The sequence below is a fragment of the Homo sapiens genome, chromosome 13, assembly GCF_000001405.40.
Source record: "Homo sapiens chromosome 13, GRCh38.p14 Primary Assembly".
Classification (NCBI taxonomy): Eukaryota; Metazoa; Chordata; class Mammalia; order Primates; family Hominidae; genus Homo; species Homo sapiens.
In genome coordinates, this window is record NC_000013.11 from 23,850,167 (window position 1) to 23,877,698 (window position 27,532).

A 27,532-nucleotide genomic window follows, 5' to 3' on the forward strand; every position below is an offset into this window, starting at 1 on the left:
TGTCAGAGAAACTATTTTTAACTTTATCAAAAGCAAATGAAACTGTATTTTTGGCATCAGGAATGACTAAGTATAATTCTCATGTTATAGCTGGGTGACATTTTGAAATGCTGCCTTGAAAACCACAGGGAGAGCTACTGTTTTATTTGGTTACATAGAGAAGGTAGCAGTAAAGGAACTGAATGATACTGGAAACCTGTTTGCCCTTTAGGTAACTATATAGAACTGAAAAGACCTTTCCCCCTGTTCTATAAAGAATCCACCATTGCTAATTTGGTTCTGTCTTGACTTCTGAAGCTAGTGGCAAGAAAATTGCTCCAGTCAAACTTCCTGGCAACCAGGAAATAATTTTCATTAATGGTGCAGATCAGCAACACAGTTCACTGAAAACTGTGGTTAACAGAAATCAAAGCTAAAGAAAGACAGTACAATTCCATCATCATCCTAGGGATTAGGAAAGTAAACCAGTAGGCCTGACTTCAGTGAGAGATGACACCACACCAATGTGCCACTAGATGACAGAATTCTCGCCATAGAGGCTGGGGCCAAATCTCACTACAGCAAGGAGACCTCTATTGCAATGGTCTCTCATTCAGCTTAAGCTGTATCAAAATGTGAAATCAAACAGCCATGTCTAAAATTGAACAGTAGGAAAGAATAACCAAAAATAACACCTATGTGCTGCCTCTTGCTTTAGGAAGAACAGAATGGGAGTTGTGGAAATGTCGTGAGAGAGGATCCAGGTTAGCCCTGGAACAGGGAGGAATGAAAACCTAGTGAGAAGGAACAAGTGGCAGCAGCAAAAGGGAAATAGGCAGAGATTTTCTCCCCCAGAGCCTTGTGGAAAACGATGAAAGGAAAGTGGCCAGACAGCCATTTGCTTTGCCTAAGGAGCTTTTCCAAGCCTCTTTGAATTACTGAGTCCAGCAACAGACCCTATTCTCAGACCTCTCCCCAGGTTGCAGACACGACTGGCCCAGAACTGGAGAAATCACCACCCCTTTTCTGTCCTGCAGGGATGCAGCAAGTGGTTCAAACTCAACTGGGAATAATAAACACAGGTATTTTGAGTCTCACTCAACAAGCTCCTAAAAGACTGACTTTTCAGTGCAATTGGCCAAGTTATGACAGATTTGGCATCCCTCCAAAATGACTGTAATAGACTGAAACACAATGAATCAATGGAATTCCATTAGTTTATAATGACGCTTTACAAAGAGAAAGCCAGATAATACTCATTTGTCACTAGTTCAGAAAACTATTACAATAAATCCTTATTTTGAGAATTGGTAATTAAAAAGAATGACTGACTCAGATGAAGACTATCAATGGGTGTTAAAGCCACTGGGTAAATGACTGAGGAAAAACTGGACATTTCCATGTTGCTGGGAACACCACAGAGATCCCTTTCTAGCTGAGAGGGAAACCCTCATCGCAGACTGCAGAGATCCTGTCAGCATCAATCTACCTAGTGGTCCATCTTCACATCACCCTCTGTGGGCAACTGATATTTCATGTCTTTTTTTTAATTTTCTTTTTTTTTTAAGAGATGGAGTCTCACTCTGTTGCCCACGCTGGAGTACAGTGGCATGACCATAACTTGCTGCAGCCTTGAACTCCAGGATTCGAGTGATCCTCCCACCTGAGCCTCCAAGTCGCTGGGATTACAGACATGTGTCACCATGCTCAGCTATTTCACATCTTTTGATGTGATGTGACACAAAGTATACAACATCACCTATGGGTGTCCATGCCAAAAACGGGAAATGTTTAACAGTGAGTTATTATATGTAACATCCAGCTTACAGGAATGATAGGAAGAGAGGAACTAGTGAAATGATGCCACAAGGAAGCACACAGATAAATCCAGAAAGTTAGAAATTCTGTAGGACAAATGGCCTGGTCTCTTCAACAACTGTTGCTGATAATATGACAAAAAAGAGAGTAAGAAGAGCATGAGGCATGGGGAATTGCTCTAAAGTAAGAGACAGGAGACAGAAAAGCCAAGAGAATGTGGAGGCTTTGTTGGAGTCCTAATTCTAACAAGCTAACGGGGAAAAAAGCTGATTTGATACTACCAAGGAAATACGAATATAGACTAGATATTAAATGATGCCAACAAATTGCTATTAAATTTTTATTAGGTAATAATGATACAAGAGTTATGTAAGAAGATGTTCATCCTTTTCAAAAGTACATAATAAACGTATAAGACTGAGATGACATGAGGGCTAGGATTTCCTTTAAAGTAATCACAAGCCAGGTAACAACACTTCTGTCAGCAATGAACCACATATGCTACAGTGGGTGGTCCCTTGAGATGATAATGGAACTGAAAAATTTCTATCACCTAGTAACATTGTAGCTGTCATGTCAGAGTACAAGGCATTACTCACAGGTTTGTGGTGATGCTGGTGTAAACAAAACTACTGTGCCGCCAGTCATATGAAAGCCTAACACACACAATTAGGTACAGTACACAACACTTAATAAATGACCATATTACTGATTCATGTATTAACTACACTATACTTTCTATCACTATTTTGGTGTACTCCTTCTAAGTTAACTGTGAAACAGCCTCAGGCCGGTCCTTCAGGAGGGATTCCAGAAGAAGGCATTGTTATCACAGGGGATGGCAGCTCCATGCCTGTTATTTCCCTTGCAGACCTTCTAGTAGGACAAGATGTGGAGGTGGAAGACAGTGATGTTGATGATTCTGACCCTGTGTAAGCCTTGGCTAATGTGTATGTTTGTGTCTTGGTTTATAACAAAAAAATTTAAAAAGTACAAAAAAAATTTTTAATAGAAAAAAGTTTATAGAGTAAGGATTAAAAAAAGAGAAAATATTGTTGTTCATCTATACAATGTGCTTGTGTTTCAAGCTAAATATTATTACAAAAGTATCAAAAAGTTTTTAAAAACTAAAAAGTTTATAAGGTAAAAAAAGTTACAGGAAGCAAAAGTTAATTTATTATTGAAGAAAGAACCATATCTTTCTATAAATTTAGTGTAGCCTAAGTGTACAGTGTCTATAAAGTCAATAATGGTGTACGGTAATGTCCTAGGCCTTCACACTCACCACCACTCACTCACAGACTCACCCAGAGCAACTTCCAGTCCTGCAAGCTCCATTTGTGGTAAGAGCCCTATACAGGTATACCATTTTTTATCTTTTATACCTATTTTCACCATACCTTTTCCATGTTTAGATGCATATATACTTATCATGTGTTGCAGCTGCCTACAGTTTTCAGTATGGTAACATTCTGTGCAGGTTTGTAGCCTAGGAGCGACAGGCTATACCAGAGAGCATAGGCGTGTGTGTAGGCTATACCCTTAGGTTTGTGTAAGTGCACTCTAAGATCATACAATGACAAAAGTGCCTAACGATGCTTTTTTTTTTTTTTCTGAGACAAAGTCTCACTCTGTTGCCCAAACTGGAGTGCAGTGTCATTATCTCTGCTTACTGCAACCTCCACCTCCCGGGTTCAAGCAATTCTCCTGCCTCAGCCTCCCAAGTAGCTGGGACTACAGGCACTTGCCGCCATGCCCGGCTAATTTTTTGTTGTTGTATTTTTAGTAGAGACAGGGTTTCACTATGTTGGCCAGGCTGGTCTTGAACTCCTGACCTCGTGATCCACCCGCCTCAGCCTCCCAAAGTGCTGGGATTACAGGCATGAGCCACTGTGCCCAGCCCACGATGCATTTCTCAGAATGTATCCCTGTCATTAAGTGGCACATGACTGTACATTAGTAATGAGAAAAGAGAAAGGAAGGAAAGCAGGGAGGGAAGGAAGAAGGAAAAGAAGAGCAAAGAAAGAAGAAAACTGAAAAAAGAGACAAATGAAGCAAACATAGAAAAATCTTGGTAATTGGCCAGGCGCGGTGGCTCACGCCTGTAATCCCAGCACTTTGGGAGGCCGAGGTGGGCGGATCACAAGTTCAGCAGATCGAGATCATCCTGGCTAACACGGTGAAACCTCGTCTCTACTAAAAATACAAAAAATTAGCCAGGCTAATTTTTTTTTTTTTTTTTTTTGTAGAATCTGGGAGATCAATATGCAGAGGTTACTTATATTGCTCTACTTCTGTTTGTTTAATTCATTTTTTTCTTAAACAATTTTTTCTTTGTTCTTTTTCTTTTGACTGAGCCATCCATTTCCTATTTGTTTATTTTGAAAGTTTTCATAATAAAGGTTAATTTTTAAAAATTTAAAACTACCAAGATCACTAATCCTATACTAACAAAGCATGAGATTTCTCACATCAAAAAAAAAGTCCTTCTGTGAGAGCCCATTTTTTGAATAGTTTAAAACACAAAACATCTGTATTTCATTATGTGAATGCGCTTGAGATTTTAAGAATATATCTTAGCAAGGAATAGACAATACTGAATTCCCTTTCCCAGTGATATCCTAATTTAAAAATAGCACCAAAATTGGCAGGGTGTGGTGGCTCATGCCTGTAATCCCAGCACTTTGGGAGGCTGAGGCAGGCGGATCACTTGAGGCTAGGAATCTGAGATCAGCCTGGCCAAAACGGTGAAACTCTGTCTCTACTAAAAATACAAAAATTAGCTGGGTGTGGTGGTGCATGCCTGTAATCCCTGCTACTCGGGAGGCTGAGGCAGGAGAATCACTTGAACCCAGGAGGCAGAGGTTGCAGCGAGCTGAGATCACGTCACTGCACTCCAGCCTGGGCAACAGAGGAAGATTCTGTCTCAAAAAAAAAGAAAAAAAAACAATAAACAAACAAACAAACAAAAATAGCACCAAAATAAATGAAATACTGAAACTCATTACTCACAGAAAAGAAATAGTGTTTCCAAAGCATCAAAAACAAAATCCAAACACTGGAAGGATACATTAAACAACTTAAAAGTGGTGACTTCTGGGGCAGAGGTAGAGATGAGTATTCTCAATTAATACTTCTTAACATTGTTGATTTTTTGAGCCATGTGAATGTATTGCCTAATCAAAAATAAAATTTAATTTCAAATAAAATAATTTATTTTTGTATCTGAAAGACGTAATGTTACTCTTCCATGAAGAATCTTACAATAAAGCTTTAAAAAGGAAAAATGAGCTGCTCTTTAAGACTTGCTGACAGTCACTTATACTACTACGGTATTTTCCAGGATCAACCTTTGGCACTTTTAAAACATGTTAATTTCTCCTCCTGCTTCTAAACAGGTTCTTTTCTTTAGATGAACATTAAAAACTTGAAATAAATCTGAGGTATTTAACATAAAAGCAAAAGACTCCCTGAGGTTAACTTGAAAAAAAGGCTCGAATCAAGGAAAGCCCCTTCTATATTTCATTTTGTGTCAAGCCACACATTTAAGTCTTTACTTGAAAGGTGATGAATTTAACAAGGATTTAGAAATCTTCACTTTGTTCCACTCTTCTAACCCCAAACCCAACCTATGATATTTTTCCTTTCTTTTCTCATCCATTACCTGTGCGGCAGCCTCCTCTTGTCAATCAAGATTACTGAAGCCTCAAACCAAAACTCAGTAGCCTATTAAGCTACTTAAAATAGATTTTTAAAACCCGATTCTTACAACCCCTTCTGATGCATTTCTGCATCCCTTTTCCTGGTTCTTTTACTGAGTTAATAGTCAAATAAATAAATTAGTATTAAAACTTTAAAATAAGCTAAAGCCCCACATGGATATCTGGCAGACTACATTGTGTTCCCAGCATACCTGGTGATTTCAAGGACTTAGCAAGCAGGTGGAAGACTCCATCAACCAGTGAGCACTGCAAACATGTCATGCAAAAACATGGCATTCTCTTTCTAAAAAAACCTCATCACTGGATTGCTTTTCATGGTTACTGGTCTAGATACAAGTTTGAATAGGGGCTATGAATTAGTATGTATTTACTGAGGGTCCAGAATGTTTGTTCTTGCAGAGCTTTAAAATATGGTTGACAAGACACATTTAACATCCAGAACATCTTAGCAGGTCAACTGTGTAGCACACAGGCTGTTAAGCACAGCGGAGCCAGGAGCTACACAAGGCTAGTGCAGACTCAGCAGCTTCATGGACACCTGGCAAGATGTCACAGATGTGTAAGACAAACCAGGGAGGCAATGGGAACCCACTGCTCCCCTGACAGAGGTTCTGCCTTTGAGACAGAAAGGGGTTTGGCTGGGATAAACTGTGGAGGAAGAGCAGCGGTGGAAGAAAAATCAGAACAAATAAATGTGAGTAGAGATGTTTCTTTCTGTAAAACAAAAGTAGGTTGTGATCAGATCCTACAGTGCGCCCAGAGCCAGGCTTGTGGGCTGTTGGCAGCTATATTTATACCCACTGTTATTTAAATGCAAATTAAGGGGTGGGTTAATGCAAATTGGGGGTAGATTATTCAGAACTTTCTAGGAAGGGGGTGCTAACTTCCCGGTCATTGGCCTTGGCACTAGTAAACTGTCAAGGCGCTGGTGGGAGTGAATTATGCTAATGAGTAGTGAGGGCAGCCAGAAATCCCTTTCCTTGCCATCTGTTGGTCTGGGCTGGTTTCTTTACTTCATTCTGTTTGGACCAGATCCTGTTCTGGTCAGGAGGTTGTGACCAGAAAACAAGTCCTGCTGATCTCCTACCTCGGAACCACCATTTGGGCATGCTATATTTACAGAGTATAGTTAGTGAAAAAACTATCACTTATATTTAAGGCCAAGGCATTAATGAAAATAATCAGGTATCGGGGACATGATATGAAAGGAATACCTGATAAAAATGAGAGTAGCAAAAATTAGAATATTTATTAAATTAGAATATTTAATATTCTAAATATTGAGAATTAAAATTAGAATTCTAAAAATTAGAATATTTAATATCAAATATATTTAATTTACATTACTCTCCAATGTCAAAAATCAAATGCTTTACATAAACATGGAAAGTACAAATAAATTTTATTACTGATTTATGCTACATCTTTAACAGGTGAAACAACCAAGCCAAATCTTTCTTTGACAGAATTTTAAAAGAGACATTTTATTTTTTAATGCAACTATAGGGAGCAGGGTTTCAAGTTCTGCAACCAGAAAACAATTTTGTAAAACAAATATATTCTAAACCCTCGTTGTTTACCATAACCAAATTATTATAGACTTTGAATAACAGTTTATGTGTTTTCACTAAAAAAAAGACTGATGCTGAATTTGAGATACATTTTTAAAAAAATGGTAGCTAACCAACCTGGGCAACACAGCAAGAACCTATATCTCTACAAAAAAATTTAAAAATCAGCTGGGTATGGTGGTACACACCTGTAGTGCCAGCTACTTGGGAGGCTGAGGCAGGAGGGCTGCTGGAACCTAGGAGGTTGAGGCTACAGTGAGACATGATTACGCCACTGTACTTTGGCCTGGGCGACAAAGTGAGACCCTGTCTCTAAAAAGAGTTGTTTAATGAAAAATAAAAATAAAAAATAGTAACTGACCAAATATTCTTAACTAAAGGTTAGGACACAATTATGCCTTGTAAGTAAAAATGGTTTTGGCAACAGTGATAGATGGAGACCAAAGAGAGGAAAATAAATGAAAATTAAGTGAGTAAGTGCTTCAAAACACTAATTGATCTTAGGCTACCTCATCCTGCTGGTATAGAAAAGAATATAGAAAGTTATTGTTTTCTGTTTTTATGACAAATGCTGAAATAAATAATTAAGCAAATACTTCTTATTTTGGAGAAGTACCTACTATGCTTTACTTGATGCTTCAATAATGCATAGTAATAAAAATATTTTAAAGCTTAATACCAAATAAATACACGTATCATCACAGTACATGCTGGTATGCTTTAATGAGGAAAAAAAAACAAAAAACTTACATTTTCTTCTATTACCTAAATCAACCTTAACTCTCCTACTTAAACAGCATATCTCAAAAACTAACTACAAGGGAAAAATGTTAATAAGTTGTTAAAGAGTAGGATTCTGAGATTTTTTTTTAAAAATTCCTATTGGGTATATAAAGTTGCTTCAGCTATAAACATTTTAAAGTGTGTTCACTGTGAAAAGAGCTCTATTTCTTGGGTTTATAACATAAAAATTACAGAAATAGTGTGTCTGTAGGGAGAGAAGGGCATACCTACTTTTCTCCAATATAATAAACACAGGAGGATATAGAAGCCAGAGGAGTACTTCTGTCAACTTAAGTTCCTTAAATCTTTATTTCATTTATATCCTTCCAGATGGACCAATAATGTGTTGACAATATATGTGTCCAAATAAAAATGAGAAAACATAAGAGCGCCACTGCACTCCAGCCTGGGAGAGAGCAAGACTCCGCCTCAAAAAAAAAAAAAAAAAAAAAAGGAAAATAACGTAGTACCACGCCATGTACCACTTTATTCCTTTACTGGTTCAGTAAACACATGCTGAGCCCCTACTCTGGGCCAGCAATGGGATACAACAAGGATTCCAGCAATGCTCACAGCCTAGGAAGAGAACCAGAAAGCTACGCAAGGGCAGAGCTGGAGAGGGACCAGATTGTAGAATTTTAAACAAGGAAATGATACAAGCAGCTGAAGAATACATGAGTGGAGCAGACCACGCCAGCAGAAAGAATGGTGTCAGGGGAAGGGTTTGTACTGTGGGCGACTCAGTGGATGACAGTAGCTGCTGAATAAACATTAGTTTCCTTTTTCCTTTTCCTGTACGGGTATTTCTTGAAAAACTTACCTTTCTGCACGAATCACACCACTGTAGTAAGGGGGGTCCCAGGGCATTACTTCCTACAATGGAATAATTCACTGTTAAGGAAAGCTACTGACTCTTTCATAGTTTTTATCAGCAACGTGGCCAGCCTATAGAATGTAAACCAGCTACTGTTCATGTAAATCAGAACAATTTTATAGAATCCCTTAAAAAATTGATAGCTTGGCAGAAAATACCTGGCTCCTTATTTTGACTTCCCTGTAATCAAGAGATAGTGAAGTATAACTAAGACCTACCCCAGAATCTGGGGAAAAGACAAACAAATGTCATTCTGAAGTGGTATCTAACAAAAGTAAACATTAACGAATTATATTAGCCATAATGAAATTTTTCCCAAAATGTAACCCATGTATTAATCCATAAAACACACTGTAGGTAAGATGAGTGTACTAAAGGTAGGATTAAGGTTCTTTCTAAATCTAAGCAAGAAGCTTTGGGTAGATATCAAAAATGAAAGCAGCAATTTAAAATGTAACCAAGGCAGAATTAACTCTAATCTTGGCAAAGAAAATATGTCATAAAGAAGTACTATAGTACTAGTTGCTTTTGATGATTGGCACATAATACTGAAAGAAGGGAAAGCTTGAATACTTGAATGACTGTCCTTCCTTCTAGGTGTCCAGGTGGACAAAAGAGTGGTTAAGAGACCAGGCTGTGAAGACAGACTGCCTGGGCTCAAGTTTCCAATCCATACCAGACTATAAACTGCATGATGACAGGGACTTTGTTTGCATCCTTCCCTATTACATTCCTGTCCCCTGAACAGTACCTGGCCCAGGGTAGTCACTCAGTAAATATTTGTTGAAAGAATCAACAGTACCTCCCAAAGAAGACTGCTGAATGTACTTAAACTATTAAGTAGAATATCTGGCATTGAGTAAGGGCTCAACAAATGTTGGCTACTCTCCTTATTACCATTATCCTTTAACATTTCAGTTTAGGCATAATCTCCTCCAATAACAAGGTGTTATTTCCCATATTCCATGGTAATACTTATATCATGGGATGCATGACAACCTAAGATACTTGTAGGCTTATTTTCTTTCTCCTCATGAGTGCCTGAAGGGCAGGGACTGCGTCCATGGAACCCTAGCCCCACAGTGTTCTGGTCCTGGCACACATTTTCTCTAACAGATGATTATTTGCTATCTGCTAGATGCAGACAGAGTGCAGGCTGTAATCAGACAAAAACAAGAGGATGATAGCCTAGGCAGTAGAAGGGCAAGTGACTCAACAATCAGAGGACAGTATGTCATGTCTACATTGTGCCATGTAAAACACAGCCCACAAGAAGAGTATTTAAATCACAGCGGAAGGTTAGGAAATGTTCTCAAGAAGGCAAAGCCTGAATTGAGTTTTATGATAGAAGCAGTTAATCCAGATGAGAAAGGGAGAAAGGCATTCCTGTAGGTGGTGTTTGTAAATGACTGGAAGCTGCTCACCATGCCATATTTATGTGGCCGGCACGTAAATATTAATTCAAATTAAAGAATCAAAGAAAGCAAAGCAAGGAAAGAAAGCAAAACTAAGTGAATAGAGATCACATGAGCATCACACAGGTATTAGGAGAGAGCAAAGAACACAGCCTCGGCTTGGAGGGGCAGCAGAAGATGAAGCTAGAGAAGGAGGCAAGGGCCAAATCATGAGGGCTTGGCGGGAGCAGCAGGGTAGTAGGAAGGGAAACTGGAGAATAACCAGGAGCTACTGAATAATTTTAAACAACAGAGTGACAAGATCAGATCTGCTTTTTAGACAAATCCCTCTGGTGGCAATTCATTCATTCATTATTCATTCATAGTTCAAATAAGTGTTGACAACCAATTCTATGCCTAACACTGGGCTAAATACATGGCTAAACTGTCTGAATCCAAGACGGCTTCGAGTGGAGCAAAAACAAAAGGCTAGAAACCAGTTAGGCAATCCCAGTTACCATCTGGGTGAGAATAATGATTGGGATCATAGCCCAGGCTATGGCAATGGGCACAGGAGAAGACACAAGAGTTCACAGGGAGGGAGAATCTGCAGGACCTAACAAATGATTATGGGGGAGGGGAGTGTGCAGTGCCTGGGGTGCTTGTTGAAACACAGATTGTGGAGCTCACCCCAGTTTTTGATTCAGTGGGTCTGAGGTGGGGCTCAAGAATTTGCATTTCTAACAGGCTCCCATGTGATGCTACTGCTTCTGGTCCAGGAACCACACTTTGAGAACCACTGGTCTGGATTAAGTATAGGTCCTGACCAGAGCAGCAGGGTGAATGGTGGCACCATTCACCAAAGCAGGGACTTCATGAGGAGATTGGGCATTTCACAAATATCTGCAGAATAATTGTATCCATAAGCTATATACAAATATCTACAGATAACAGTTTAAAGTCATATTCACTTTTACTGAATTAGCTTTTGGCAACACATTTTGTTTTTTATTTTTCTGTTTCTATAGTCACCAAACTAAATTCTTACCTATTATCTGGTTTCCCAAATAAGCCTACCTACCAGGTCAAGGTGTGCAGATGACTGTGCAGATGACTAACAGTAGTTACTTTGCTAGACACAGCTCCTTCCATAAATTAACAGACTGACATGCTACTCTACACATCGCTGAGTTTAATGGGATTAATCTGTTTCCTAGTGGCTGTATCTGGGAAGCTAGTAAACAGTTTGTAAATCTGCAAGGCCCATTTCCCTAAATCTTCCTTATGACTATGGCTCTGGCAGCAGCAACTAAGTCAAGAACTAATAACAGCATTTGGAAAAGAATGGTGTAGACAACCCCGGCAATCCTGTAGTGCCCTAGAACCAAATGGGAATGAGTCCTAATATCTGGACTCTCGACACTTTTCAGGGCACTCCCCCAATCACCTGGGCAGCATTCTGGCCATAACAATACTTGTCTATACTCTTGGATCACATAAGGAAGATCATATAATCATATGATTGAAAACAACACTTAAGTGTTTTTAGAATGTGGTATACTTTGTTAGTCAAATACTCAATTGGGCACCATAAATTAGCTAACAAATAAGCAAATGAACTGCAACATTAACACTGATGGTTAAAATTGCCACCTGCCAGATGAAGCCTCCACTGAGTCTCCTTAAAGTCTGCTTCAAACTGAGAAGCCAACATTCCACAGAATGAAAGCAGTCTTTGCATGAATATATACACATTGTGTTAGTGTATATACATAAAATATGTCGACTCCTCAACAAAAATGCTGTATGTACAGGCAACATCAGTTTGGGACATAAGAATCAAATATTTCAACATCTTTATTCACCAAAACCGAGGATCAGAAACAAGACTAAATGGACCTGTAGCCTATCACAAGAAAGTTCCTGAATCAAAAGATATTGATTTCAGTTGACAGACTGTCTATATTATAATAAAAATATTCCAACATACTTACGGAATTTTGAGGATTCAGTTTCATTTTCATCCCTCGTATCATCTCAAAATCTTTCAGAGTTCTATAAAACAGGTTTATCATTACTTGTTAGGACAAAATTTTAACAATTACATTATGAAAGGACTAGTTTGCTTATGTTACATTCCAATATTCATAAGATTAGATACAATTAGTAGTGCACACATAAATCACTATTAATCCAAATTTTACCTAAGTGTCATGAGAAATAACAATATATAAAGCAGCATATTACTGCGATTTCTACCTTAAAAAGCATCATGGTGGATAAATGTCTCAAGAGTACTAAAGCTTGGAAAAACTAGCAATGTCATTACAAATATGCAAAGCATTAATCACTAACTTTAAATCACTACTTTTTGCTATACCTTTAAAAGAGACTTAACAAATTAACTCCTAGAAAGGAATTTTATCATTGGCTACATTTAAGATTTCTAGTCATTTTTCCCCTTTGGAAAAACTCTAGCTGGTCAATAATTAAATAGGTATTTAATATTTGTAGAATATGACATGTATATTGGAATTAATTCCTATATATACCTGTAAAATGATGAAGCTATGCTTGCTCTAAAATCTATAGCTATGTAGAGAAAGACTACTAACACTTAACTAAGTAAAGCAGGATAAATCCTCAATAAGTGCATAACTAACCCTCTTTCTTTATTGTATCAAAGACACAGTGGTTCACCAGGATCATTAAAAGAAAATTTTAGAATTTATAAACATAATCCAAACTAGAGAAGAATGAGTTCTAAGGCATGAGTTTATAGTCCAAAACAGAAATGTGAGCCAAGATCCAATGTGTTGGTGTAGCCACAACAGGCAAACAAAATTTTAGACAGCATTACAAGAGAAAAAGAGAAAACATCATCCTTTTTTACAAACGGTGACTGCTTCTTCCTAGAATCCTTAGTACCTAAAGGTGTGCTGCCTCTCAACTAAGGCCTAGAAGAGGGCCAGTGAAGGGCAAGTGTATGATCGAAGGCACTGAGCAGGGGAGGGGCAGGGGAGGCAGGAATACAGGTTGAGCCTCCCTAATCTGAAAATCTGAAACTTTCTCAGCACTGACATGATGGTACAAGTGGAAAATTCCACATGTGATGTCATGTGATAGGTTGCAGCCAAAACTTTGTTTCAGGCACAAAATTATTAAAAACACTGTATAAAATTATCTTCAGGCTATGTGTATAAGGTGTATATGAAACATAAATGAATTTCGTGTTTAGACTTGGGTCCCATCCCCAAGATATCTCATTATGTATATGCAAATATTCCAAATTCCCCCCAAAAAATGAAATCCAAAACATGTGTGGTCCCAAGCATTTCAGATAAGGGACACTCAACTTGTTATAACAAACGGACACACCAAAGGCAGTAGAACACTTCAGCTTGAAATTACAAATGTTGAGATAGAACATCCTTAAAATACTACACAAAATTAAAAAGACACCACATCCATGAGCCTCCTGTATTTAGGCCAAAAGAAGAGAAATACTACTTTATGAACTTGTCATAAAATTCATGGTACAAGTTAAAATAAATAGTTTCAAAAACATTTTGGTAAAGATTTTTAAAGTGCAAATGAAAGATGAATTTCTAAAAACAATTGTTTAATGAAAGGGGACAGCTTATGTTTTCAAGAATGGCACATAAGGAAGACAACTATGGCCTTTTAAAGTATGTCTCATAGTGAGACAGGTCTGGTCCAATATGCCAAAACTTATATTCTAGGTCACTTCCTAATTTTTTATAAATCAAGTCTTCTTTAAAAAGACTAAATAACATATAACCAAAAAACTAAATAGTAGAATAAAAACTAACCTTTCAGAAAGTTTGTCAGATAGTTTTTCAAGGAACTGCATGACAGTCTCTAAAACGAAATCCAAAAGAAAATATCTTCAATTATGTGAAATAAAATGAACATATCTGTTAAAATTATTATGTGATGATCATAATCTATATCCCACAATTCCCTTAAAGTGATGATTTTCAAAGGGAAGTAGAGCTACCAACATATACCAAACATATAGTAAATGCTTCTAGGTGATGACGATCTTTTAATCAGAAAAAAATTAAATTGGCATACTAATAATCCACAGCGTCAGATTCTATCCCAAAATTAAAAGAGTTAATGGGACCAGGTGGCTCATGCCTGTAATCCTAGTACTTTGGGAGGCTGAGGGCAGGGGGTGGATCACCTGAGGTCAGGAGTTCAAGACCAGCAAGGCCAACAGGCTGAAACCCCGTCTCTACCAAAAATACAAAAATTAGCCAGGCGTGGTGGTGCATGCCTATAGTCCCAGCTACTTGGGAGGCTAAGGCAGGAGAATAGCTTGAACCCAGGAGGTAGAGACTATAGTGAGCCCAGACTGTGCCACTGTACTCCAGCCTGGGCAAGAAAGTGAGACTCCATCTCAAAAAAAAAAAAAAAAAGAGTTAATGGGAGGCTAAAGAAAAAAGTACAAAATTTCAAGGTGTTTCTATCTATTCATATGTGTAAGAAAAAAAAGTTCTGAGACATGTCTGACGTTTTCAGAGTTTTAAAGAGATATCTAGACTGCTTTGTTCATAAAAATAGGTGCAGTGTAGAAGTATAATTCCCTGAAATAAATTTTTTAAGATCAATGTTTTTCTTGATAACAATTTTATTGTTATATACAACTGTAGAATAATCTATTCAGGATAAATATGAAAAAAATAGCAAAATAAGAAAAATAAATATTAACTTCTGATAGAATTTTTAAAGTATTTTTATTAAAATACTTCTGCCATAGTTGTCATAATTTACAAACCCATAAAGGCAGTGCAGTAGAATTATCACCGTTTCCCACAAGAGGAAATGTTTTGCAAGTATTTCTGAATGTAGCACTTTTTATCACTGACTTATGTGTACAGAGCTTTCATATGTATTTTAGTTCACCACAAACACTATGTTTGTATTTTCCAGATAATCTTTTATACAGTTTTAAGTTTCCTGCCCTCTCTTCAATTTAAGTTATCTCCTTTTGAGTGAAATAAAAGACTAAGGAAATAAATAATGGTGGTTAACCTAAACCCAAACCATGAGGTTTCTTGCCACTGTCAATACTTAACAAGTCCTGTGTATACGAATTCTGAAAACACTGGCTCATGTGCCATATGAAACAACAATAGGAATTTTTGGGGAACAAAGACATTATTTAGTCAACAATGAAATCTCATTTTAGGATTATATTCCAGGTACCATACCAAACTGTTTTCAAATGAATCCCTATGTATGCTTGTATACGTTTTATTTCTTAATAACCGTGTTTTAACATTCACCCATCTTATTCTTCCAGTCATTTTACATGTGAAGAATCTGCCTCAATTAATTTTTTTTTTTTTTTGAGATGGAGTCTTGCTCTGTTGCCCAGGCTGGAGTGCAGAAGTCCCATCTCGGCTCACTGCAACCTCTGCCTCCCAGGGTTCAATCGATTCTCCTGTCTCAGCTTCCTGAGTAGCTGGGATTACAGGCACCCGCCACCGCGCCCAATTAATTTTTGTATTTTTAGTAGAGATGGGGTTTCACCATGTTGGCCAGGCTGTTCTTGAACTCCTGACCTCAAGTGATCTGCCTGCCTCAGCCTCCCAAAGTGCTGAGATTACAGGCATGAGACACCACATCTGGCCTGCCTCAATTAGTGTCCCCAGAGAATTGTCATATTAAGATTCAGTTTGAAACCCCCCACTAAGTGCCTCACCGCAGTTACCTCCTCATTCACTAGCCACATGAATGCCCGCCTTAGCCTCAGTCAGCCTCTCTGTCTTCCTTCTGCTCTGCTGAGGACTCACTCCATCACTGTGCATGACAGTTTCATTTCCCTCAGGGCGCCTTCCACAGCCACAGATGCATCTGACAAATGCCCCGAGCTCCTAAATCCCATGGCATTGTTTTGTCTGTACTACTCCATCGACACCGAAAACGTGCCAACCTCTATTATTATTTATCTTTTTATATGCATATATCCAGCTCCTCAACTAAGCTTTAAATCCTCAAGGACCCAGAGCACATCTTACGTGATGATGTGCACAACAGCCCCCTGCCAATACATCAGCACACCAAGCACTTAGTGCACAAGGGTGACCTGCCAGTCACGGAATCTGGAGCTGGGTGCTGCAGGTCCAGTGAGCTCCACGCTGCTACAGCCAGTGGTCATGCCCAGCCCTCCTCACATCTGACCTGGCCACAGCATGAGTCAGCTGATCTCTCCCCTCTCCTGTAGACAGACCTTCTGCGCGGCCTCCAGGACCACACCCTGTAATCACTTTCCACCTCCCTTAGTGGCCGTTACATCTGGCAGCGTTAACTAGCAGTTCCTCACATGCCTGGCCTCTTAAACTTGAAGGCCCCAGAGCGCAGTCCTTGGACTTGTTCTTTAAGTTCACTCTCTTAGTGGTATCAGAATCTCATTTTAGAGGTTCAGACTTACATATGAAGCTCAGAACTCCACACTCCATCTAACTGCCTACCCAACTTCACCACTTGAACCTCATTTGGTATCTCAAACTTAACTTGAAACAAACCAAGTTTCCGGTCCTCCCAATCTTAGTTAACAGTAGTAACTCACTCTCTTTCTAGTTGCTTAGGTCGAAAATGTTGGCTCCCTCTTCCAAATACTCTGTACCCAGAATCTGATCACATCTTACCACCTTCCCTGCTACCACCTGGTCAAGATGCCAACACTTCTCATCATGGTTACTGCAAAACAGCATCTAAACAGGCCCTCTTCTACCCTGGCCCTGCTGCAGTCTTCTCTCAGGAACAGCAGCACTGACTCACCATTAGCACTGGAGTCAGATCATCTCACTCCTCTGCCCCAACCCCCACAGTGACCTGCTGCACTTGCATCAAGTCTCTACTTAATGCCGCCCCTTGTCAGTCTGTTCCCACCTCTCGCCACTCTCCTTGCACACGCTGCGCTTCAGCCACTCTGCCCTCCTCAAACGTGGCAGGCATTTTTCTGCCTCAAGACCTTAGCACTTGATAGTGACTCTGCGTGAAACCTTTCTCCCCTCAAGAGCCACAGCCTCATGCTTGTGTCTGTCAAGAGCACGCTCACATTCCACATTCTAAGTGAGCCTTCCGACAATGCTCTCTAAAACTCCAACACCAGCCTACATGCCCACATACCTTATCCCCTTCCCTGTTCAGTTTTCTCCATGGCTTGTATTAACTAATAACATACCACATACTTTATCTACTTATTTCGTTCTTTACTGTTCTTCCCTTGCTCCCAAGAATGTAAACTGCATAAGGATAGGAATTTTCTTCTGCTTTGTACACTGACTTATTTCCCTGACCGAGAATAATATCTGACATACAGTGGGCAATCAGTAAATATTTGCTGAATTAATAAACAAAAGGGGGATGTAGATGATATAAAACATAGGGCATTAGGTCTCAAGCAGCCTGTGGAAAACCATAAATGTAGCATATGTGTTTAGGCTTCAGTTCTGCCACATTTTAGCAATATAACCTAACCTTAGATTCCTTATCTGTGACACGAATACAAATACCTACCTCACAAAGCTGCAGAGGAAGGAAATGAGATAACAACAGGATAAGCACTGAATGATATTCTAATATTATTATTTTATATAAATATAAAATAAAAATATGGTACTATTATAATCAAACTGTTGACAACAGCGACTACAGAAAAACATACTTTTCACCAAACTGATACTTACAAAAAAAGAAAAAACATACACTAAAAACACACATTTAATACATAACATACATATTATATCTGTTTAGGAGCTTCGATTATATGAAAAAAAATGTAAGTGTTTTAAGGGTTCGGGGACAAAGGAGTCCAAGGAAAGTGAAAAAGTTTAACCAGCTTCATGAAAGAGGTGGGTTTTGAGCTGAGCACTAAAAAAACGGGGTAAGATTTTAACAGGCAGACCAGGAAGAAAAGCTGCTCTCCATAGGAGAGTGACACGAGCAAGGGAACCCAGGCCGCAATGAGCGTGACACGCCTGTAGCTTAACCGAGAGCCCTGACAGGTCAAGGGAAACAGTTGTTTACGAAAGAGTAAGAAGTAAGATTGAGTGCATTTAGAGAACTTTGGAGAAGAGAGGAACATGCTAGGGTGAGAAGGGATAAGCACAGAAGGAATAAAGACAAGCGAGGATTCAGGTTGTGATCTGCCCCCAGTGTCCCCTCTGTCGGTGAGTGGAATGTCTAACCAGATGTACAACCAGAAACCCAGGGGGCCCACCACAATGCCTCCTCCTCCCTCTCACCCTCACTAAGTCTTGCAACTTCACTGCCAAGACCTTGAGTCTCACGCAGCTCCATCATCACGGCCACCCTACTCCTGACTCACCACCTAAATTACAACTGTAAGTTAATAAATGCTTCTGAAAAAACGTATTATGTACATTTATATTATTATTGTGTAACATTTTCTCTTAGACATTATGAATCATAAGGAACTCAACATAGCACAAGGCAAGTTTATGACAAACCCAACGACACACTTCCGTAACACCTCACCTAGCACAAACCTTCCTAAGCAGTACTCTTCTCTCTGAAAAGGAGGCTTATCTGACTGTGTGTTTTTTATATGACCTAACCTACATTTAACCTTGACCTCAGTAAACATACTGATCTTTCATTCTCTTACACTAATTCTAACCAATTTGTCAAATTCAGCACAGAAACTGTGTTAAAATGAAAACAATTTAGACTAACATCAAAATGAAAATTTAGGTTATGATTTTACTCTCAACATTCACATAAAATAAAATTCTTTGGTTGGACAGAATTATGCCAAATTATTAGCTCTATTTAAAAATGGTTCCTATAAAAATACATAGAAAATCTCAATAAATGGTTCTCTACATGTATTAAAAATAGAACACTAATTTACAGCTATTTAAAATCAAAAGCTCAGTTTCATAAAAATCCTATTTTGCCCTTAAATGTTGGATAAACAGGCTTACCTGGATTTTTAGCTATCGTTCCTTGGAGAGCCCTGTGAGAAAACGTGGAATACCCCACCAACTTTGCCAGAAGATCTCTGCTGCTGAGCAATTCTTCTAAACATTTCAATTGACCAGCATTGGGATAAAGAAAAATTTTATAAGCAGCTTCTCGCACCTACGTTTAAAAAGTAAATGGTGAAGGCTATAAATATCATCACACAGTCCTATGCAACAATAACACAGGCTCATGCTCACCACTTGATCTGCAGATGATCACTGCTTTCAAAATAAAGCAATGGTCTACACGAGGCCATAAAGCTTCCAGAGTCATAAAATAGCATGGGATGCAATAGCATACTTGACTGCAGCTCTAGGGTACTGTTCTGAGGTACGGTGGGGCAAACCTCTACCCAGTGCGTGGATCTCTATGCTATAAAGCGTCTTAACCAGGAGAAGTAAGGCTGCATGAATTTAAAAGTCTCTGTAGTCTAGAATGTCAGTTAATGGTGTTATTAATCATACTTTAAAAATAAGGAGTCTTGTATGAAATATAAGTAATTAAATCATTTTCATTCTTTAAAGTGTTTATGGCATTAATAATTCCACAAGTTAAATTTTTAGGGCTTAGTAATGCTAAAAAGTTTTTAAGGATACTATTATATTATCACTGAATTTTGGGTTAAAACAGTAGCAACACACAAATGGGACCTAAACAACAAAGAGAATGAAACATACATACCAAGTCATCTGGTGATTCTGCGTGGAGACCATCAATTATGATATGATCCCCAGCAGATGTAAAGTTACGACGAATGTGTTCTGGTAAGAGATGCTTCTCAATCTTGTTGGGAAAATTGGTTCCCATAAGAAATGTACTACTCAAATCCAAGATTTTAACATTGAGGTCCACTGCTCTTTTACGCTGTATGCAGGAGGAGTAAAAGTTATTTAAAGGCGTTTTGAATTAATATTTCACAATTTAATAAACAAAATATAAATATGTCAAATCAACATATATATTGTTGAATTATCACTTAATAAAATATTAGTTTAGTAAAATGAATATATTGTTACTATATTATAAATAATATATTAATTTTACTTTTAACAGATATTTAATATTCTAACAAAAAGATCATACTTATGGTTTTCTGATGTTTCTATGTTTTAAGATTTACATAACTTCTAGTTCTATTTTATGTCTAGGTTATATAACTAATTGTTGAAATTAACAACATTGAAAAACACATGCCAGGTGCAGTGACTCACGCCTGTAATCCCAGCACTTTGGGAGGCCAAGGAGGGCAGATCACTTGAGGTCAGGGGTTGGAGACCAGTCTGGCCAACATGGTGAAATCCCATCTCTACTAAAAATACAAAAATTAGCTGGGCGTGGTGGCACGTGCCTATAATCTCAGCTACTCAAGAGGCTGAGGCACGAGAATCGCTCGAACCCAGGAGGCGGAGGTTGCAATGAGCCGAGATCGCACCACTGTACTCCAGCCTGTGAGACAGAGGGAGACTCTGTCTCAAAAAAAAACAAAAAACAAAAAAACAGTTATTTGCAAAAGTGTAGTGAGCCTCCAGAAGGGGGAAGCACATTTTAAAAGTTCTGATTTTGGGTGTGGTAGCACACGCCTGCAGTCCCAGCCCTATGTGGGGCTGAGGCAGCAGGATCACTTGAGCCCAGGAGGTAAGGCTTCAGTGAGCTACGATCACACCACTGCAACCTGGGCAACAAAGCGAGACCCTGTCTCAGGGGGGAATAAAGTTCTGATTTTGCATGTGCTTGAGCTGCTACAGAATGATACAGTGAAGTCTAAGAAGCAGACTGGAACCCCAGGGCATGGTCCTTTCTTCTACTCTGTGTCCCTGCCATGTGGCACATGGTCCTTGCTCCTGCCAGGCCTTCAAATGGTCAGTGATGAGGACGTGGATGGTGCGGACACATCTGCTTAGGTTTAATCTTGCAGTCATATCTTTGTAATACACAATAACCTGAGAAAACGTGTATTAGCAAAGGGGTTGCCATAAATGCTCTAAGATTAAATATAAACTAGAAACCACATAATTAGGCTGACTGGAGGAGAAGGGCTGAATTTTCAGTTATTGGCTACTCAAAAACTAGACAGGCTCTGCAGATGAATTTTCAGTTATTGGTTACTCAAAAACTAGACAGGCTCTGCATATGAATTTTCAGTTACTGGTTACCAAAAAACTAGACAGGCTCCGCACTGGGCTCATGTTGGGCTTCAGGTGAAAGTGTACACAAATCTTTCTGGGAGAGGAGATAGCAATTAACAAGTTCTAAACTGTTCTATGCTCCTAAAAAATGATTAAGCCACAATACTAATATACTTTTTAAAGATAAACATAGATGATGTAGAGGCATGCTTGATAAGATGCTGAAAAAATTGAGTATATATCAATATCCCCAGAATTTCAATATAGAAAATTCAAATTTCATGGAAAAAAGTTTTAGGAGACTCCCATTTCCTTACAGTCCAGATTTCTCTTTGCTTATTTTGTTTGATATGGCCATTTATCACCACCTAATGGTAACAAGTGGAATAACAAAAAAGATGAACAAGATTTTGAAATCACATTACAGTTCCAAAATTGTCTTCAAAACTTTTACTTTGAAAAAAAAAATGTGATAAAATTAACTACTTTGAAGATTTTATCTACTGATAAAACCTCTGGAAAAATCAAAACTGAGTTCATGCCAACTTCAATGATCTGCCAGGCATATCACTTCATCATTCTGTGGTAACAATGAAATGTACAATAATCTGAACTCTTGAAAAATTCTATGAAATTTCTGTGTTATTAAATAATGTTAAAAATAAACATTTCTATTACATTTAAACTTATAAGTTATATTTGTATGAGACCTTAAAAATTAAGGCCGGGTGCAGTGGCTCACGCCTATAATCCCAGAACTTTGGGAGGCTGAGGCAGGTGGATCACCTGAGGTCGGGAGTTCGAGACCAGCCTGACCAACATGGAGAAACCCCGTCTCTACCAAAAATACAAAATTAGCTGGGCGTGGTGGCACATGCCTGTAATCCCAGCTACTCAGGAGGCTGAGGCAGAAGAATCGCTTGAACCCGGGAGGCGGAGGTTGCGGTGAGCCAAGATTGCCCAATTGCACTCCAGCCTGGGAAACAAGAGTGAAACTCTGTCTCAAAAAATAATAATAATAATAAATAAATAAGAAACCAACTGGAAAGAACATAGGCTTTGATGATTTATAGATTTTGTTGGTGGGTTTATTTCATGGTCTCTCTTTTGAAAAATGGAACATGTCTACTTTATATCCTGTCCTAGTGGAGCACCTCTGAGAACAAACATGGAAGTTACAAGGGAAAAACTGAGCAGGTTTACTTTAGTTGCATATTCAATATTGAGGGGTTCCCTGGGAGCTGCTCCCGGGGAAAGAGGAGCTACACTGTAATCATATGTTAGATAAAAGCGGCAATGTCTATGCTGGTGAAACTGAACATATACTATTTGTCAGCAAAATTTCAAAAGCACCCTTCATAAGGATACATTAAAACTATTCACATGGATTCTCTACTAGCAACCTTCCTTCTGAAGATATCAAACTTGATGATAGCTAGCATTATCATGATTTGTCATACATTCACTCAATACTTTTACTGAGTCCAAAACTAATATGCATTAAAAAACATGATCCACGTTCTTGATCCTTTGTAAGCCTAGAAGTTAGATAAGCAACACAACAATAACAGCATCATCATCAACAAAAGGTAAAGAAGAATGCCACATGACTGAAATAAGTAAAATACGTTCGGATGAATACAAAATTCCACCTGGGGGACTGATAAAAGCTTCGCAATGTGGCGTGAGGATGAAGCCTTCATGGGGACTTCAGCCAGGGAAACCTGGTGAGCAGGCCTAGGAGGAGGACAGCAAACACATGGGGGAGGACACTGTGTATGAGGGGCTGACAGCCGGAGCACAGCCACGAGTGTGAGCTCTTTGTTACATGTTAACTTCACTAGACAATGGGAAGTCCACAGGAGGATTCTGGGCAGGAAAGTAACAAATCAATACTTTATGAAAACTAATCCAGTGTTCACAGACGGGGAAGACTGACCAGCAGGATGGTGACATGCTGGCCATGGAGGCTCTGGAGTCTGTCTGGCTTACAAAATAACGTCCCACAACCTCTACAGCCTTGGTCTAAAAAAAGCCAGGAATAATAGTAGCACCAAGCTCAAAATTGTTGTGAGGATTTGATGAGAAATATATGATTTAAAGTAGCAAATACTCAGTTGATGTTAAATCACTGTTAGGAAGACAGAGGCCTTTAGAACAGCCCGGGTGTTTGGTGATAAGAATCAAGGTGATTTGCTTTTGGGATGCAGACAGATGCAGGACTGTAGGAACAATGCAAGGACTTGGTTAGAAGATATGACAATATTAGGAAGGGAAAGAATACAACTAACTCCCAAATTTTATTTTACAGAGAAGTATTAATGAAGAATTGATGTGGAAAGCGGCAAACGTGGTCACCTTAGGCAATGTGAGTTTACAGTAGAGCCCATAAGCCTCATGGGCTGCTGGGAAGGCACGTCCTGGCTCAGGGTCAGACCAGGAATCACATGCTGAACCTTTAATGCCACACAAACACATCAGATGTGTGAGGGGTTACAGCATTACTCAAACTCAGCACCTATCAAAATGGTAACATCTATTGTATGTGATACATATTTCCAAGGCCCTGCCTTCTGCTTTTCCAGATATTTTGATAACTTAATCTCTTCATAGGTAAGTGGTTTAATTCTACCATATTTACTAGGAAAAATGTATTACTGTTTAAAACAAATAAACAAAAAGCCATAATAGTCTAGACTGCAGGTGAGTGGGGGAGACTGTGGGGCAGGCTGAACTTCCAATGGTGTCAAGTCCCTCCTGTTCTTCCAACTCTGAATTTACAACTGAAATGAGGCACTTGGTTTCTCAGGATGTTATGTGCTAGAAAGAACAGTGGCCAGTGTTAGAAATTTTAAGAACACTGGCCATTTGTTAGTTAGGATGGCAACTTGAACAAATCACTTTGTCTTGTTTCCACATCTGTAAAATGAAGGGGATGGACTAGGTAGAAGGCCTCCATCCCAGTGTAAACACTGTGTAATCTATGCTTGTTCCATCAGTCAAACACACGTATAATATAAATAAATACACTTATGTAAGGTCTTATGTGATATTCCCTGTACTACCAATCTTCAATGACATCAGCTTTCCCATTCACTTGCCAGTCTTTCCTGATATTGCCTATCTCATCCTAATTCCATGATTATCTAAAACACTCCACTTGGCTCAAGCCTGTCTTAATTCTGAATTATCATGGTGTGATAGGTCAACTTCCAGAGAGGGGACTATATTCAAATACAATCTAAAGAAGAATTTCATAACAGATAAAAGACCTGCACGTTTTTGCAATATGCAAATTCAAGCAATATATACAAGGACTGTAGCAATAATGGTATCAACTAAATGTTAGTAAAACTGGAAGAGTCAAAAAAACAGCAGAAAGATGTACCTTTTCTTTGTCTAGATGGATTCCACTAATTTCAAAATCAAACATAAACAGTTCAGCCACTCGCCTATAAATGAAATGAGCCCCAGGTTATAACAGGTAATAAAAATTGCTAACAAAAAAATTGTGGTTTTTTGTTAAATAAATAAGTCTTTTTCAGCCTCACTGCCAAAAGTTTCTTCAAAACACACACACACACACACACACACACACACACACACTTTGTTTTAAACAAGGAGCTTAATATCCTCAGATATTAAGGCAAACATCAGGCAAAACACCTATCTGACTGACAATTATGATTGGCTTGTCATGTAAGAGCTTATTCCTTTATTCAGAGAGTACAAACCTGTGAAAGCCACAGGTTTGTACTAAATAATAATAATAATTTTATTTAGTACACAGGTTTGTAATAAATAATTTAGTACCACAGGTTTGTAATAAATAATTATTTATTTCAACTCAATCCAAATCCCAATAATTAAAAACATAAAACAGTTTTATATTTGGACAATTTTTCAAAGGCCCTCTGCATGAGATTTTTAGTTTTTCTTCTAGCCAGTAGCAGCTATTTAGAATATTAAATTCTTTGATGCTGTGCTGGAAGCTGAGTTTCTTGGCTAATGAGAATTGTTTTCTTTCTTTTTACTCCTGCTTCATGCTTGGAACCAATTTCAAGTGTAACACCTTTTTTTTTTTGTCAATGGTATTTTTTTTAAAAAAAACCAACAACATTGAATGGAAATAATCAAATATTTGATCTACTCTTTTGGCTTTCCTTGAGTTTTCAAAATAGATATATTTACCTTCCTGATTATTACATCAAATATACCTTGAATGGAAATTTATAGTGTACGTTTATCGTATTACACAATATAGGTCTATTATGTAACAAAACTAATGCAGAAACATATGAAACATTTAAAATCACTAATCCTATCAAAGATAATGACTATTAAAATTCTTGTATTTCCTTTCAATCTACTTTTAATGTTATATTATATATTTAGAATAATTAAGGCCCAACTGTATATACTTTTGTATCTTGCTCTTTCTTGTAAAATTATATCACAAACATTGAACAGTTCTCCATGTCTTTAAACGTTCTTCAAAAAGTTGGCTTTTGATGCTTGTTTTGTGTTGTTATATAGACTGCAAATGTTTTTACTCTCCCACTCCCATGAACCACAATATAATAAAAATCCTTGTTACAGTTTTTAATCCTTGTTTGTTTCCTTAGGATAAATTCCAAGAAATTAATCACAAAGTATGCACATTGATATATATTACCAAATGCTCCTCCATGAAGTCTTATCAATTTACCCGTAACTAGAGAGGATCCATCATCCCAAACCAGAACTACTATTCTTATTCTGTTTCAACTTTGTCAGCTGCTGGCTGACAAAAAGTTTTGCTTCATTCTATCTTTCCTTAATGGTGGTGGGTCTCATGCCAGGTACAGAGCAGAGCACTTTACACAAATTATTTCCCTTACATCTCATATGATTCTTATGAAGTACTTTTTATTTCCGTTTTACAAAGGAGAAAACTAGGGTTTAGTGAGCCCTGAAGCCAAAGTCCAACCCCGCAGTTCCATTCTAGAGATGCAGTTCCACCCACTTCACACTTGGTGCCACTGTTACAGCTGTGGCACACTGCTATCAATTTAAGGGCCATCTGTTGCTATGCCTTATTTTGTGAAATGAGAGTTTCACAAACAGAATCTTTTGCCCATTTTTCTATAAGGGGGGTTTTTGTTCTTCTTTTTTTAAAGTAATTTGAAAGGTCTCTTAACATAGATAATATATTAACTCTTTGTCATATCAGAACCATTTGTCAACATTTGTGTGTTCTGACTTTGAATGTGGAAGCGTTTTGCCTTACCAAAGTTTGCAATGTTTATATAATAAAAATCAATGAATCTTTCTGTTGTATGAGTTTGTATCATGCCAAGAAAGACCTTCCATATCCCAAGATTACCAGTAGTTTTATAATTTCTTTTAAAAATATTTAAATCTTTAATCAATCTACTTTTTTACCCCAAATGGTTATCCATTGGTCTAACATCATTTCCTGAAAACCAAGTCTTTCCCTACTGATGTGAAATGACACTTTTATCACATACCAAATAGTCTTACTGTTTATGTATCTGTGTCTGTGTCTAAAATTTCTCTATTCTTCCATTGATCTAATTGACTATTCTGGCATTTTTAAGTATAACGCTCTTTAAATACAGCATTTTTATATGTTCTACTATCTGGTATAAGTCCCTTTTTAGTACTTTTCCTTACGAGAGTTTTCCTGCCTATTCTGGCATATTTATTCTCTATGACTTCAAAATCATTTTAAGTAACAATAAAAAAATTCTTTATAAATTGGATAGCATTAAACTTATAGTAATAAACATTACTGAGCTTTCTTCTTCCTTAAGAATACAGCATGTTTCTCCATTTCGGTCGCTTGCATGCTTCCTAGGTGTTGTGTATGTTGCGGTTCTGCACTCTACCTTCCCAAGTTCATTCCAACGTGTGTTACAGCTTTGGCTGTTCTTGCAACTAGAATTTTCCCTCCATTATATTTTCTGGAGAATGTGCTTATTATAGTCTTTGCATACATGAAAGCTCTTAATGGCTTTGGAAAAACCCCAAGTTAAACAGGTTTCTTTATGGCCTGGCTTCTCAGAGACTCTAAACTACTAAAATTCTTCAAGCAGGGAAATACATTGATACATCAGATTTCCAAACTTACTGACTGAAGGAACCATTCTGAGAAAAGTTCTGAACATCTCAGAGACTAGTATTTCAAGGACTGAATCTAAGAATAACATGATGAGTTACTCAATTTAAATCATTCCCT

At 38.1% G+C, this 27,532-nt stretch overlaps 1 protein-coding gene across 4 annotated transcripts in view, besides 1 other annotated feature; it reads right to left on the minus strand.

Moving 5' to 3' along the window:
• Positions 1 to 27,532, minus strand: part of MIPEP (mitochondrial intermediate peptidase) — a 159,212-nt gene that overhangs the window by 119,978 nt on the left and 11,702 nt on the right. For all 4 annotated transcript variants that reach the window (NM_005932.4, XM_011535097.3, XM_011535098.4 and 1 more), the window contains exons 5-10: positions 24,680 to 24,743; positions 19,847 to 20,029; positions 19,126 to 19,282; positions 13,975 to 14,023; positions 12,136 to 12,196; positions 8,694 to 8,746 (exon numbers count right to left, since the gene is read on the minus strand). In NM_005932.4, the coding sequence (NP_005923.3) occupies positions 8,694 to 8,746; positions 12,136 to 12,196; positions 13,975 to 14,023; positions 19,126 to 19,282; positions 19,847 to 20,029; positions 24,680 to 24,743 (567 nt within the window). The remainder of the gene's footprint in view (positions 1 to 8,693; positions 8,747 to 12,135; positions 12,197 to 13,974; positions 14,024 to 19,125; positions 19,283 to 19,846; positions 20,030 to 24,679; positions 24,744 to 27,532) is intronic.
• Positions 15,955 to 16,094: an enhancer, noted in NCBI's record as "active region_7468". NCBI's record gives its function as "activates an Ori minimal core promoter by ATAC-STARR-seq in GM12878 lymphoblastoid cells {active_cell/tissue: GM12878}" and the evidence as "EXISTENCE:reporter gene assay evidence [ECO:0000049][PMID:35858748]".